At 41.5% G+C, this 16,867-nt stretch overlaps 1 long non-coding RNA gene across 1 annotated transcript in view; it reads right to left on the bottom strand.

Moving 5' to 3' along the window:
* The window catches only part of OBI1-AS1 (OBI1 antisense RNA 1), a 562,471-nt gene that overhangs the window by 545,175 nt on the left and 429 nt on the right, over positions 1-16,867 (bottom strand). The window lies entirely within an intron of this gene.

Genomic DNA, 16,867 nt, shown 5'->3' with positions numbered 1-16,867 from the left:
TCAGGTATTTCTTTACAGCAATGCAAGAATAGACTAATACAGCGATGCAGGATAATTTTGGAATTAGATAGACCAGTAACTGTCTACCCTGACCAAGTTGCTCCATGTCTGGAAGCTCTAATTTTATCTCATGTTAAATGGGATGAATATGCCTCATAAACTTACTGTAAAGATTGATTATAAGATATAGGTGAGTCCCAAATAAGTTTTTTTTTATTTTTTATTTTTTTCATTAAAATTGAAAAATTAGGGAAAAGGGGGTTACCCACGGTGTGTGAGGAATAGTTCAGCATATCTATGTCTAAACTGGGTTGACTGGGAGGCTGAGAGTTTTCTAATCCCCACAGTAGAGCTTCATTAAGGGTGTGTCTTGTCAGAAGCTGACATGACAGAAAGGACATGGCTTGGCCTGGCTGTTTCTCCTTGGCCTTCTGATGTCTTTGCTCCTCTTGTTCCTCCCACACATATACTAGCTACAGAAAGTCATTTCCCATTTCAATGTCAACTCCTTCCTTTTGATCACCTCTAAGAAAGTACAGTGTTTACTCCTAAGTGATGTCTTCTACATCTTAAGTATGTACATCTGAGTTTCTCTGGACTCCAGGTCATTTAGGAATTGCCCTCTCCAGTTCTCTGCTGTGTCAGTGTTTTCTATTCCTTATTCTTTTAAAAACTGCTTTTCTCAGTGACTTCTTCATGCATTAGTAGACTTCTGGAGCATAGATGGTGCTTTGAATAGTAATCTAGTCTCCCATCACTTTGATTTACTTCACAACTCCAGGGTTACAAGATATTTTTGCTTCAACTTAGTGTTTTAGAATATTTTGACATTACAAAACACTGAAGAGTAGATTGTGCAAAACAATGCTGTTCTCAGTACAGAGACCAACCAGATGACCTAATGTGTCTTTTCAGTTTCTAACTTCTATGATATCTTACAGTATGGAATCTCTTTATAGCATAATAGCCCTTTATATGAAGTAATGAATATTTCATCTAATTCTTCTTTTTGATTTTGAGATACAATGTCGCTTTCTGATTAAACTACACACTGAAGTTAGAAAGCCGATGAACATCTTTCAACATCTTTCAACATCTTTTGTAGTCTTTTGATCACAAGGTGAAATCAAATTTGTTAAGGTCTGTACATTTTAATCAATATAAGTAATAGAACACTAATTATTTGAGTTTTTCTTGTGTAGGCAATAAAAATACAAAACCAAGAACACATGATCCTCCTCTTTTAAGTTGTATTTATTTTTATCAAAACCTTTCACCTCATTCAAAATCAATTCTATAGTCACTAAATCATCCAGTGTCTTTCATTTTAATATATCAGCCCCACTTTCTTCACCAGATATGGTACATGAATAATATGCTGTTTTTTTCATTATCAGAGTTTAGTTATACCTAACACTTTATATCTTCAAAAATATTTATAATTATTAACAACAATATAATTAGAAACACAACAGAACTTGACTTATTTCAGTAAAACTTTCTTGCCAACAGTTAAATTTTGTTAATATTTTCCAAGCAGTTTAAGAAATTCTTACTACATATTTTGAAAACAACAACAACAAAATTTACTTTCTTGGTCTGCTGTTCCATACATTAACAAGGAGGAAAATAATTTTATTGATTGCTGAATGGTATGAAAGGTCTTTGAAGGAGGCCCATATGTCTTTTAAGTACTGAAATACTGCACAAGACAAATGCTCTTCATAAAATCTGGTTCCCAGAACAACCCTGGACAGATGGTAATATGGTTATATATACAGTCATAAATAATAGTTTACTGGTCAATTTCCATTGAAGTCATAAAAAGAAAACTGTTTACATAGAGGATTTAAAATGATATCATGTTTGTTAATTTTTAATAGACTATTTTTTAGAGTAATGTTAGGGTTACAGCAAAATTGGGTGGATGGTACAGAGATATGGCATTAATAACTATACCAACTGAGACTGGGACTGTAAAAACGTGAAAACGAAGTTGCTTTCCTATAATAATTGCACTACATTTAGTAAACTTATTTAATGGCAAAGAAAAGAGTAAAGGTAGATGTAACTGACAGAAGCATCAGCTGGAAGCATCCTCATCCATGTGCACAACGAGGAAGGTTAACCCTGTTTAGCAGTTTGAATACACGAAGTAGCTAGCCTATGTTTGGGGCATGTGGCTGACTGTACTGGGAGTTAGTTACATGTAAGAGTGAGAGGGAGTCAACGAAAAGAGGCACAGGAAGGTCTTCAGGGCTGTGAGAGCCTAACATCAGAATCAATGTCTCCAGATTATTCAAGCCAGGGACATTGAAAATGTCATTCTGAAGTTTTGACACTCCAACCACCTTGCTAATAGAAGGCATCCCAGCAGCCTAAATGAAATAATCTGTGAAAGGCCGGAGGCCTTTAATTATAACTCCCTTAGGACGCTGAACCTGAGAACAGATCCATTTAATCCAAGACTCCCTTTTCACTTAAACAGAAAATTAAGTTTGACCAGAGAGAAAACCTAGATGAACTGCCAGTGGGGTCATCACAACCTTCCCTGGTGAATCAGAGAACCTTGATGTTTGGTTGTTGACACCTTAGGTATTTAGATGAACTCCCTTTCATCGCTTTTTTCCCCTGTAATATTCCCACAACCCCAACTCAAAGCACATCCTTACATTTGATTTTAAAATTATTCAAATAAGACTGACTAGTAGCCCAATTTTTCTCATCATTTTTCTCATCATTTTACTTGGGTAAGAGAAAACTTCTCCCTCTTTCTCTCAGTTTCTCAGGCATGTGAAAAGATGCAAGAAATAGGAAATCTGAGCACTGAAAGCCCATTTCGCATGCTCTAGATTTATAAATGCTTCAGAAAATGTACTGGTAAATATGAGATGTTGCACTTCGTTATTGTTCTTAAATATGATTATGCAGAAATCCTGATTAATTTCAAATTCTTCTACTTTTTAAAAGCACAGTTATGATAAATAATCTTGTGATATGTTCTAAAAACTAAATAAAATTAGTCCACCACCAAAGCCTAAAGTTATCTTCATTTGTCCTCATTTGCCACACTTTCACATGACCACATCATTATCACTACTCATAAATCACTGCATCTCTATCAAAAGCTATTATGTGTATCCATAATGAATCTAGTTTGAATATAAAATAATCTTTCTAAAACACAAAAAGTATTTCTATAATACAAATCTTTGTGTTTCTTTTCTGCCTGAAAGTCCTCATTGACTTTCCTTCACGTCTAACATGTTCAAGTTAAATCTTAACATGGTATTTCCTGCTACAATCAGAACCTAACTCACTACCCTGTCCTTATGGTTCAAGTGGCCTAGAGAACTGGGCAACTGTTTCTCATTCAAACTTGCCCAGGATGTTTCCAACACTCTGCTTTGGCTCAAACTCTTCCTTCTGATATACAGTGCCTTTCCCTGAAAGCATTGCACTTGCCATCATATGGATGTCCTTAATAGTGCATCACTGACTTTCAAAATTTACCAATATCTTAAGGCCCAACTTAAGTTTTACCTCTTTTGTAAACCCTCCGTCCCTAAGGTTGTCTCACCAGAATTAATTTCTCCATCCATTGGGTCACCATAGCAGCTCATCCATACATCTCTGACATCATTGACCACTCTGCACAACTTTGTAATCATTTGCATATATATTAGGCAGTGATCTCTGTGGCCCACCCACCTTCCAGAGTATGTTCCTTACAATTGGCTGTAAATGGTTTTGTCTTGAATTTAATTGACAATAATGCAGAACTAAAGCTCTGAGGCTATATTAACACTCTAGAAGATTTTGGTCCAATGTTAAAATAACATGTCTTCATAAATATATTAGGAACACCTCAGTGTTTGTTTCAATATGTAAATAGACATGTTTGATAGCTAACAGTCTAAGAAAGATGATATTTATTCAGCTCAAATGATTAAGGAAGCATTAAAAAAATCTGTAGTGACAAAAAGAAGCTAATATTAGGGTCAAATGGGAAGACAAAGACATACAATAAAACAACAGAAAACCCAGAATATTTACAGGGTTTAATAAAAACCATTCCCTGTAAGTTCAAATATGTATTACAAAGTTTACACCCAATTTGAGAATAAAGGAAAAACAAAGTATTTTAACAAGGACTCATCAGTTGCTGCCAGCCTCTGAGGCTGGCTTTTACCACTTACTCTGCCCTGCTTTCCTGAAGAAACACTGCCAATCTGAACAGCCTTAATGCTATCAGACCCTATCAGAAGGTGGGAGGTCTTGCAAAGATTTAAAATGTTGCTAATATAATCAATATCTGGGTTGCAGTTACACAGACAGTTGCCATCTGTTGGAACCTTTATATATTGGATTCCTTTAGTAATCATACAGTAGCTTCCATTCAGAAATTAAATACTCTCTTTCAATTCACTTATGAGAAAGCAATACTATGGCTCTAAGTCTGGAAGTCTCTACTGTCAAAAAGCATTCTGTCTTACACTTAAGCCTGGAAAAATCTTCCCTCCCAATAAAGCTTACCCTTTTCCTAACTCCTCCTCCTTCAGCCCTTTTGGAAGCACAATGCTCACTGTTTATATTTCCCACCCTTGAAGCCTAGGAGCCATCTCAGAAATATTAAGGAGATAAGAGTACCTATAAAAGCTCTTAAGATACTCTTAAATTTAGAGCAAACAATGGACTATTTACTTGCCTTATCTGAGGATGGGTGTTCCCTTCAGTTCATTAGAGAAGGCTAGAGCAGAGGAAATTTACACAAGGGACTTTAGGCCTCACAAATCTCCTAGGAAATGGCCAGATTTTCAGGGTACCAGCCCTTCTGACCTCAGCCGGTCCATCCAGATTCTAAATAGAATGCATTGTTTCAGGTAAAATCCTCCCTTTTCTTTATGAAGCTACAATTCTATATATATATATAACTAAAATAAGATTCACATAGGTAGATCAGGTAGATTTAAGAATAATGCGTCATTCAGGTGTGAACTTGAAGAGCCTTAAAGAAAACAAAAACAAAGGTTTGGAAATAAACAAAGACTACCCAAATAAGAAAAATCAGTGATTACTTATTGGGAGCTTGCCATAGCAGGAGAGTCAGCCTCCATCGCTTGCATTTGGCACAGACCCGAGGGCAGGCGGGGGAATGGGAAAATTATACAGTAAAAAAAGGGAAGGCTGCCAGGTGCGGTGGCTCACGCCTATAATTCCAGCACTTTGGGAGGCCAAGGCGGGTGGATCACGAGGTCAGGAGGTTGAGATCATCCTGGCCAACATATTTAAACCCCGTCTCTACTAAAAATACAAAAATTAGCCGGGCGTGGTGGCGTGCACCTGTAATCCCAGCTACTCGGGAGGCTGAGGTAGGAGAATCGCTTGAACCGGGGAGGCGGAGGTTGCAGTGAGCTGAGATGGTGCCACTGCACTCCAGCCTGCGCGACAGAGCGAGATTCCTTTCAAAAAAAAAAAAAAAAAGAGAGAAGGCTTCAGTTATGTTCTGATGGTCAATTTTTGGAACTGAAACAGGAGAGTTCCCTTATTCACTTCACAGGACGTGTGACAGGGTATGGCTCGCTACTTCCGACCCCTAGGGGAGCATGCAGACGGGCAGGTGCAGCAAGCGGCCGTGGGGAGCATTTTTTGGGTTCCAGCCCCACGGCAGTGTCTAAAGTGGGTGTCTGAGACTCCTGAAACTCAAGAGGGCTTATGTTACAGTGTGCTCTTTCAGCTTTGCCATCTGCAAATGGCTTGTGTTAATCAGCTCAATCGACCCTCACAAGGGCAGAGGGCCAGTGTAACAGCTTTCTGTATCTCAAGCTCTTGCCCAGTGTACCAGGAAAATTGGGTCACACGTGGGCTCGAAGGATGAGTGCAAGGTTTTATGGAGTGGTGGAGGTGGCTCTCAGAGAGATGGATGGGGAGCCAGAATGGGGGATGGAGTGGGAAGATGGTCTTTCCCTGGAGTTGGGCCACCCAGCAGCCAGACCCTTCTCTGACTGCCCCCAGTTGAACTCCCCTCAGGGTCCAGACCTCCCTTCTCTTTTCTCTTTCTCTGCTTTGTCATTCTGCCTTCGCTGGTCCGCTGGTCTGCTGGGGTCTGCTGGGGTCTGCTGGTCTATTCCTCTGCTCCTCTCAATATTCAGCTGCTTGCGTCTGTGCCTGCTATGGTCTCAGGTTTACATGGGCACAGGATGGGGGGGGGGTGTAGCAGGCAAGAATGGTCTTGGAAAATGCAACATTTGGGTGCAAACAGGAGTGCCTGTTCTCAATTAGGTTCATGGGCACAGGCCCAGGAGTGGAGCCCTCACCAGGAACCCCACCCTTTTCTACCCAGCGCTTCCCTGTCCCCCATCTCATATCAGAATGAGGAACCTGGAGGTGAGCTAACCAGAAACAAAGCATCCTATATGACTAGCTTGGGAAGCATATTTGGCTTTCTCTGGTTGAGCTTGAGTTGAAAACAGGGGTAAAATTTAGGGGAGCTGGCAGTAACCGAGCAAGTGCTGACTGTTTGGAACTGATTGCTGCAGAGGTTGTGGTTTGGCTTCCTAGGCTGGTTGTTGTAGAGGTAGTGGGTCAGTGTTCTGTTTTATATGTGGTCTGGCCACTGTCTGTTTGCATATTCGGTCTCTCACAGGGTTTCTATTGTTCATTTTTTAATTATTTGGAAATGAAATACTATTCAGGAAATTATTGAAAAGTTAAATAGAAACTAGAAACTTATCTCTGGATATTAATTCTAGAACTATTTATATTATAAAGGAGAGCATTGGTTTTTTACCGCCAAAAGAACTCATTATCTTGGAACGAGTTTCATCAAAATAGCATCAAAATTTTCCATTGAGGAAAATTCTTGGATTATGAGCTAGAAATAAAAGCTGCCCAAACAGTGTCTGTTTTTGTTGATTCAGTTTCAAAATAGAATTATAAAAGGATAAGTGGTTTGATAGGTCAATAGTTCAAACAAATAGTTATTGAAAAACAAACAAACAAACAAACAAACAAACAAACATATAAGAACCGATGAATACAAGTAAAGACTCAAAGGTTGTTGTGAAGATAGTGGACAGCAGCACACATATAATAAATGCCTTGTAAGGAGGTTGCAGAGAAAAAGGAACACTTTTACACTGTTGGTGGGAGTGTAAATTAGTTCAACCATGGTGGAAGACAGTATGGCGATTCCTCAAAGATCTAGAGGCAGAAATACCATTTGACCCAGCAATCCCATTACTGGGTATATACCCAAAGGAATATAAATCATTCTATTATAAAAATAAATATTCATTGCAGCACTATAGCAAAGACATAAAATCAACCCAAATGTCCATCAGTGATAGACTGGATAAAGAAAATGTGGTAAATACATACCATGGAATACTATGCAGCCATAAAAAGGAACAAGATCCAGCGATCTAATACAGGAACAGAAAACCAAACATCGCATGTTCTCACTTATAAGGGAGAGGTGAACAATGAGAACACATGGACACTCTGGGAGAGGAACAACACACAGTGGAGCCTGTAGGAGTGGGGGAGGGAGGGCATCAGGATAAATAGCTGATGCATTTGGGGCTTAATACCTAGGTGATGGGTTGATAGGTGCAGCAAGCCATCATGGCACACGTTTACCTACGTTAACAAACCTGCATGTCCTGCACATGTATTCTGGAACTTAAAATAAAACAAAGGGACAAGATTACGTCCTTTGCAGGGACATGGATGGAGCTGGAAGCTGTTATCCTCAGCAAACTAATCTAGGAACAGAAAACCAAATGCAGCAAGTTCTCATTTATAAGTGGGAGCTGAATAATGAGAACACATGGACACATGGGGAGGAACAACACACACTGGGGCCTGTCAGGGGATGGATGGGGGAGGGAGATCATCCCAAAAAATAGCTAATGAATGCTGGGCTTAAGGTGATGAGTTTATCTGTGCAGCAAACAACCATGGCACATGTTTACCCATGTCACAAACCTGCACATCCTGCACATGTACCCTGGAACTTAAAATAAAAGTTGAAGGAAAAAAGTCACCAATAACTGCCTTGTAAGCTAAACCAACAAGACTTGGAGATTCATAAGCTATGGAGATGAGGTGAAAAGAGGACTCTGGGGTGACTCCCTTGTCTCTGATTTTGATGATGATGTAGGTGGTGAGACTGTTGGCTGAAATTGTGGATTTAAGAGTGGGCACATTCAGAGGTCATATTCAGAAAGGGAAAAAAAGCCCAAGGGGAGAGACAGAACTAGAGATACAGAACTAGACTCCCTTTAGAGTCACTCATTCAATCATATTTTTTGAGTGGAGAATCCAAATAACAACCAACCAATTAATTGCAGCTGTAATACGTGCTATGGTGGAGCTAAGAGATCATCTTACAGGGGGAACTCAACTATTTTAGAGGATCAGGAAATGCAGAAGTAATATATAAACAATTAGCAACATGTGAATTACTGGGAGTTAGCTGGTCACTGAAGGACAGATCATTCCCGGCAGAGGGAATAGTGTAGGCAAAGGCACTAAGACAGGAAGAAGTATATTCAAGGAACTGAAAGCTGATGAGGCAGAAGTAGAAGAAATGGAGGAATAAATGTCTCTATATGAGACTGATGAGGCAGACAGACATCATATCATACAGAACCTTGAGGTCCATGATAATCTGGGATTTTATCTAGGGATAAAAGGGAAGCCATTAAAGTAGGTTAAGCAGAGAAATTTCATGAACAGACTTTCATTTTTAAAAGATGATTTTATTCACAGTGAGGTATATAAATTAAAAGAGTACAAGAGCAGATGTAAGGGACCGGTATGGAGGATATTGAAGTAGCCTATGTGAGAGGGAATAGCCATGGAGATAAAGAGAAATAGGTCAATTTCAGGCATAATTAGAAGAAAGATTAGAAATCTTGGTGATTGGTAGAATACTGATCCCAGTGAAGGAAAGATATCCACGATAATTTCCAACTTTCTGGCATGAGACATACCCTGGGCTCAGAAATACTGGGGGAAAGCCAGGAGTGGAAAGAAAATTATGAGCTTGGTCTTCAAGATGTGAAGCATAGGATGCCCATGAGATCAACAAGCACTGACGGCAATGAGACAGTTGTTGGTTCTACAGATCTGGAGCTCTGAGAAAAGTTGGAGTAAACAGAAAAAGCACACTTATAGATAGTGATTGAAGCCATGGTGATTTGGTGATAGTTGAAATTAACTAGAGAAAAAGGATTAAAGAAAAGGCCTTAGACAAAACTTTGAGAAATCCCAACTTATTTAAGGCCAGGTGGAAAAGAATGAGGTGGCCAAAGTGTAAAGGAGGAGGAAAACCAGAAAAGTGTAAGGTTATGAAAGGCAAGGATAGAGTGTTTCAGTAATAAGGGTATGGTGAACTGCCTCAGTACCCCAGATGGATCAAGTAAGAGGAGAATGAGAACATGGCCTTGGAGTCAGTGACATGCATGTCACTGGTGACCTCTAAAGAAGGGCTTTGGGTGCTATAGTGATGATAAAAGCCAGACTAGAGTAGGTTTGAAACTGAGTAGGATTTGAGAAAATGAAGGTAATAAATACAGACAATGCCTTCAAGAGGTTTGGATATAGTAGGGATGATAACTGGATGGGAAAATAGATACGAAAGGAGGCTTTGGGCTTTGTTTCTTTTGTGTGTTAAATTGTTAAGGCTGGAGCAGGTTCAATTGCTTATAGGATGGAAGAAGTCGAGTCAAGGGGATTGAAAAGATAGTTGTAAGAAAGGATAATAGACAGTGCAGGGTTCCTGAAGTGAAGTGTGGAAAGGACACGTGGAAAAAGGGAGTCATTGGCATACAGTGCTAATTACACCACAAGGATGAACACTCCACAAGTGTGATCATTGCAAGGCTCTTGTATCAGTTCGAACCCCGAGAGCGCACCAACAAACAACACAAGGCTGTGTGGAGCAACACGCTATTTTAATGAGCACCTGGGTGCAGGCAGGCTGAGGCCTAAAATGGCGTCAGCCCCAAGTGAGGACAGGGCAGGGGTTTCACAGTCCTCTGTAAACAGGAAGTGTTCCAGTCTGATATGATTGCTATGTAGTACCCGCATGGCCTCCCTCTCGATCTTCGGGGGTATGTGTCTTCTGTCCTGCTCTCTTCCTGCTTCTGCTATCTTGCTGATGCATGCTGCTGGCACAAGTGACCTTGTGCCTTGGGAGTGGTCCTGAGGGGGGGGAGTTATTCATTCCCTTTAGCTTTCAGGCCCCAGGCAGAATCTTTCAATCATCTGATCAGCATGATGGGTGTAGATCCACCCTGTGATCTCTTCTTCATGACATGAGAACCTCTATGTAAGCCATTTCTGAAATTTAAGCCTCAGAAACTTATAATTCATTATTTAAGCATTGAGATTCTGCTTACGAGATGTTTCACTCTTTTACCTCCATCTATTTTGTGTAGCTAAATATGTGATCCAGAGACCCTCTGAAGGAAGCAGACTGTTCCTGCAGGACCCAGGAGATGTGTCAAAACTGTCAGTGCCCCAACTACAGAAGTGGGAAAGAGAGACCCTCCACTCTTAGACACACATCCCCACTGGAGAAGCTGAAGATCTGTTTGCAGGAGAAGTTTCTGACTTTACCTGGAGCTCTTTGGAGAACTGAGCAAAATACAGAGGTAGAAGAAGCAGCAGAAAGGCTCTGGGAGCTTGTTGGGTCCCCAAGCAGGCCATTTCTGCCTGGCACCACAGGGATCCAATGGGAAAGGAGCAAGGGGTAAAACTACACAGGGAGAAGGAAATCTCTAGCTAAACTTAGTGAAAATTAGAAAGAGGTGAGTGAAAATTAGAAAGAGGTGAAAATTAGAAAGAGGCGAGAAGCCTCCTGGCCAGAATTTGGGGGAGGGCAGACTCCACAAGGCTTTCTCTTTCACAGCTGGGAGGCGCATAGCCTGGGGCAGGTTTTCAAGCCCTTATTGCTGTCTGCCTGGAAACCGTCTGGGGACTGTTGCCCGGGGCATTGTAGGAGTGAGACTGGCACTGGCTCTTTGATTTGTGTGAGATGTGGGTGAGGCCTGTGACTGCTGGCTTTCCCCTACTTCCCTGACAAACTTCGTGACTCAGCAAAGGCAGCCGTAATGCTCCTAGGTACACAACTCCAGTGACTGGGAATCTTACCCCCATTCCCCACAACAGCCACAGCAAGACCCACCCAAGGAGAGTCTGGGCTCAAAATGCCTAGCCCTGCCCCCACCTGACGGTCCTTCCCTACCCATCCTGGTAGCAGAAGACAAAGGACATATAATTTGGGAGTTCTAGGTCCCCACCCACTGCTGATTCCTCCCCATGATACCACAGCTGATGTTCTCTGGAAAGCACCACCTCCTGGCAAGAGGTCAACCAGTGCAAAAATAGAACATTAAACCATCAAAGCTAAGAACCCTCACAGAGTCCATTGCCACCTCTGCCACCTCCACCAGAACAGGCACTGGTATCCATGGCAGAGATCCATAGACAGTTCACATCACAGAACTCTATGCAGACAACCCCCAGTACCAGCCTGGAGCTGGATAGACTCACCGGGTGGCTAGATCCAGAAGAGAGAAAAAAATCACTGCAGTTTGGCTCACAAAAAGCTAAATCCATTAGGAAAAGGGGGAGAATATGACATCAAAGGAACTTCCCATGAAAAAAAAGGATCTGAACAGCCTTCAGCCCTAGACCTTCCCTCTGACAGAGCCTACCCAAATGAGAAGGAACCAGAAAACCAGCCCTGGTAATATGAAAAGCAAGTTTCTTCAACACCCCCCAAAAAATCACACTAGTTCACCAGCAATGGATCCAAACCAAGAAGAAATCCCTGATTTACCTGAAAAAAAAAAATTCAGGACGTTAGTTATTAAGCTAATCAGGGAGGGACCAGAGAAAGGTGAAGCCTAGTGCAAGGAAATCCAAAATACGATACAAGAAGTGAAGGAAGAAATATGCAAGGAAATAGATAGTTTAAAGAAAAAACAATAAAAAATTCAGGAAACTTTGGACACACTTTTAGAAATGCAAAATGCTCTGGAAATTCTCAGCAATAGAATTGAACAAGTGGAAGAAATTCTGACCTCGAAGACAAGGTCTTTGAATTAACCCAATCCAACAAACACAAAGAAAAAAGAATAAGAAAATATGAACAAATCCTCCAAGAGTCTGGGATTATGCTAAATGACAAAACCTAAAAATAATTGGTATTCTTGAGGAAGAAGAGAATTCTATGAGCTTAAAAAACATATTTGGGGGAAAAATGGAGGAAAACCTCTCCAGCCTTCCTAGATGTTACGGGGGACTTTGTGCTTATAGCTCCCAAGACAGTGGAGGGCCGCTCCCAAGATGGAGTGGGCCGCTCCCAAGAGGGCGGCAAGCCTTTTGTTCTCTGACCTGGGGTTCTTGGCCTCACAGATTCCAAAAAATAGAACCTTGGGCCATGCGGTGAGTGTTATAGCTCTATTAGAAGCCGTGGGTCACGGAAGAGAACTGTGGAACCCAGTGACTAGTGTTCAGCTCGATTAGAATGAACAAAGGCACTTAGCCTGTAGGAACAATGGCTAGCCTTTAGCCCAATCGGGAGCAGTAATGGGCTCCTTGATGAATCAGGAGCGCAGCCGACACCCTGCTGGATAGGGAGGGGTGGAAGTCAGCAGCGGGTCTGCGATGGCGGCAAACAGCAGTGGTGCATGGCGAGCGAAAGCTCAGCTCACCAGAAGAGTGTGCAGTTGCAAGATTTAATAGAGTGAAAAACAGAGCTTCCATACAATGGGAGTGGACCCAAAGGGGGTTGCCACTCCCTGCTCGAATGCCTAGGTTTATATCCTGATCATTATCCCTCACCCTGTGCTCTCAGGTGATAGATGATTTGATTATTTTTTACCTCCTGTTTTTAGCCTAATTGGTATTTTCGTGAGCCCTCTTTACTACCTGATTGGTCTGGTGTGAGCTGAGTTACAAGCTCTGTGTTTAAAGGTAGGTGCAGTCACCTTCCCCAGCTAGGCTTAGGAATTCTTAGTCAGCCTAGGAAATCCAGCTAGTCCTGTCTCTCATAGAGACCGAGACATCCAAATATAAGAAGCACAAAGAACACCCGAGAAATTCATTGCAAAAAGATCTTCGCCTAGGCATATTGAGTTCTTTCCCTTAAAATGAGAACACAAGGGCATTACCCACCATGAGGCCTCATATGATATTCCCCATTCTGAGCCCAGAACACCCAGAACTTTGGAAATTGGCTATTGCCATGGTTGGCCTGCAAGTATGGGAAGAGGAAATTTTCTGTCTGTTGTCCCCACTACTGCCCCTCACATCCGTGATTCTGAACCCCATGATAAATCCTCTTTGAACTCTCCTCCTCTTTTAGATGCTGATCCTCCTTTATGGGACTCTGATTGGCCTTATGATAATTCTTCTTCACCCAGGTATGCGCCTCCACCTCTTCGGCATTCCTGAGCACCTCGGATTGCTTCTTTACAGTAGAGAACATCGGGCGTTGCCACTGCCGCTTCTCTCCCTCAGTATCGATGTAGATTGAAACATTCCGCTTTGTTTACCTCCAACCTGACTATTCCTATACAGAGTTGTGTTAAGCCTTCTTACATGCTGTTAGTGGGAAATATCAAAATTTGGATGAACAATCAAACTGTCCAATGCATTAATTGTCATTTATACACTTGTGTTAACTCCCATTTTGACTTCAGGAAAAGTGTAATGTTGTGTGAGCTTGAGAAGTGAGAAGGAATCTGGATACTGGTAACTTTACCCAGACCTTGGGAATCTTCACCCTCAGTACATTTAATTAATGAAGTGTTACAACGAATTCTCAAAAGATCTAAGAGATTCGTTTTCACTTTAATCGCTGTGATCATGGGCCTAATTACAGTCACTGCACTGGCCACCACCGCCGGCGTGGCATTACACCAACCTATTCAAAGGGCTGATTTTGTTAATGATTGGCAAGCTAATTCCACCCAAATGTAGAATTCTCAACAGGGCATTGATCAAAAATTAGCTAATCAAATTAATGATTTAAGACAGTCTGTTATTTGGCTTGGAGATCAGCTAATAAGTCTCAAACATCGCATGCAAATGCAGTGCGATTGGAATACTTCTGATTTCTGTATCACACCATATTCCTACAAGAAGACTGATCATTCATGGGAAATGGTCAAAGGACACCTGCTGGGTAGGGAACATAATTTATCCTTGGACATAACTAAATTAAAGAAACAAATTTTTGAAGCCTCTCAAGCTCATTTATCCATTGTGCCTGGAACTGAGGCACTAGATCAGGTGGCAGAAAGTCTTTCTGGACCAAACCCCACGACTTGGATTAAGTCTGTTGGGGGCTCCACTGTAGTAAATTTTGGAATTATGTTTCTCTGTTTAATCAGCTTGTTTTTAGTGTGCTGGACCAGTCAAAGAATCCTGCGTCAAAACCGAGAGAATGAATAAGCCTTCATTGCCATGGCACATTTATATGAAAAGAAAGGGAAAGATGTTGCAGGAAGTCAGGGACCCCAAGTGGAGGGATGGCTGGAGCCGTGGCAGAGGAACATAAATTGTGAAGATTTCATGGACATTTATCAGTTCCCAAATAATACTTTTATAATTTCTTATGCCTGTCTTTACTTTAATCTTTTAATCCTGTTATCTTCATAAACTGAGGATGTATGTCACCTGAGGACCACTGTGATAATTATGTTAACTGTACAAATTGTTTGTAAAACGTGTGTTTGAACAATATGAAATCAGTGCACCTTGAAAATGAACAGAATAACAGTGATTTTTAGGGAAAAAGGGAAGATAAACATAAGGCCTGACTGCCTGCAGGGTCGGGCAAAAAAAGCCATACTTTTCTTCTTGCAGAGAGCCTATAAATGGACATGCAAGTAGGGAAGATGTTGCTAAATTCTTTTCCTAGCAAGGAATAATAATATTAATACCCTGGGGAAGGAATGCATTCCTGGGGGGAGGTCTATAAATGGCCACTCTGGGAATGTCTGCCTGATGTGGTTGAGATAAGGACTGAGATATGCCCTGGTCTCCTGCAGTACCCTCAGGCTTACTAGGGTGGATAAAAACTCCGCCCTGGTAAATCTGTGGTCAGACCAGTTCTCTGCTCTCGCACCTTGTTTTCTGTTGTTTAAAATGTTTATCAAGACAATACATGCACTGCTGAACATAGACCCTTATCAGTAATTCTGCTTTTGCCCTTTGCCTTGTGATCTTTGTTGGACCCTTATCAGTAGTTCTGCTTTTGCCCTTTGTCCTGTTCCCTCCGAAGCATGTGATCTTTGTTCTGCCTTTTGCCCTTTGAAGCATGTGATCTTTGTACCTACTGTCTGTTATTACACCCTCTCCCCTTTTGAAACCCTTAAGAAAAAACTTGCTGGTTTGAAACCCTTAATACAAAACTCAGGTGGGCATCATGGTCCTACCAATATGTGATGTCACCCCCAGCAGCCCAGCTGTAAAATTCCTCTCTTTATACTGTCTCTCTTTTTATTTCTCAGCTGGCCGACACTTATGGAAAATAGAAAAAACCTACGTTGAAATATTGGGGGCAGGTTCCCCCAATACCCATTTCTTCATTGTACAGTAAAATCCAACATGATACTTCCTTCTGGAACAGACATTGAAGTTTTGCTCTAATCTGTGGAAATTGTCCAAATGGCATACAGCAAATGAGGAAACATCTATTTAAGAAAATCTACTAAAATTCAGAACAATGAGAGTCTGTAACATTTGAGCCACCTTCTACACTCTCCCTCTTTACCCTAAGCTCAGCCTAACAGAAACTTCAATCCAAGTTGTCAAAAAGATGAGTTCCTTCTCTTTACAATTTCTGATCAAGAGTTGCCATATTTTATTGGGAGGGGGAAACCACTAACATTTTTCATCCTCTCCAACTCCATGAAGAGGATATATTCCAGGTGCATGTTGCCAAAGGGTTGGTGGCTATCTTCCTCCCACCAGCTCTCAGTCAGGATGGAGTGTCTACTCTGTGCATGGCTGGCAAGAAGATTGGGGTTCTGATTTTCCTGACATGAACTCAATCTTTGGGCAGCACCCCACGCCAGGAGAGTCAAGACAAAAAGTCTGGAGGACCAGAGGCTAACTCCTCTAGCCAGTGCCTGGAGTAGGGTTGAGACATCTTAACCAAATGAAAGGGGAATCCATAGGAAAAGGGACATCTGAATGCCCCCCAAAGGAATTGATTTTATTTTAAACAGAATATGGTGAAGTTCAAGTATAAGGGTACTAACAGTGGATCTCTCGGCAGAAACTCTACAAGCTAGAAGAGAGTGGGAGCCAATATTCAACATTCTTAAAGAAAAGAATTTTCAACCCAGAATTTCATATCCAGCGAAAACAAATAGCTCTTCTTAAGTGACAGCAAAAAGTTTAACCATAGGCCAGCTAGTTCACCAGACAGAAAAAGAGAAAGAAGTACATAAGAAGTGCCCTCCTGGGATCTCCATAAACCTCAAAAACTGTCTTTAAAAACTACTACTGCAGCTGGGTATGGTGGCTCATACCTGTAATCCCAGCACTTTGGGAGGCCAGGGCAGGTGGATCACCTGAGGTCAAGAATTAGAGACCAGCCTGGCCAACATGGTGAAACCCCATCTCTACTAAGAATACAAAAATTAGCCTAGCTGGTGATGGACACTTGTAATTCCAGCTACTCAGGAGGCTGAGGCAAGGGAATCGCTTGAACCCAGGAGGCAAAGGTTGCAGTGAGCCAAGATCACGCCACCACACTCCAGCCTGGGTGACAGAGCAGGACTCTATCTCAAAAAACCAAAACAAAAACCAAAAGAAAACAAAACAAGAAATAAAA

Source organism: Homo sapiens, chromosome 13, assembly GCF_000001405.40.
Source record: "Homo sapiens chromosome 13, GRCh38.p14 Primary Assembly".
NCBI classification, from domain to species: Eukaryota; Metazoa; Chordata; class Mammalia; order Primates; family Hominidae; genus Homo; species Homo sapiens.
This window is presented reverse-complemented; position numbering and strand designations above follow the sequence as displayed.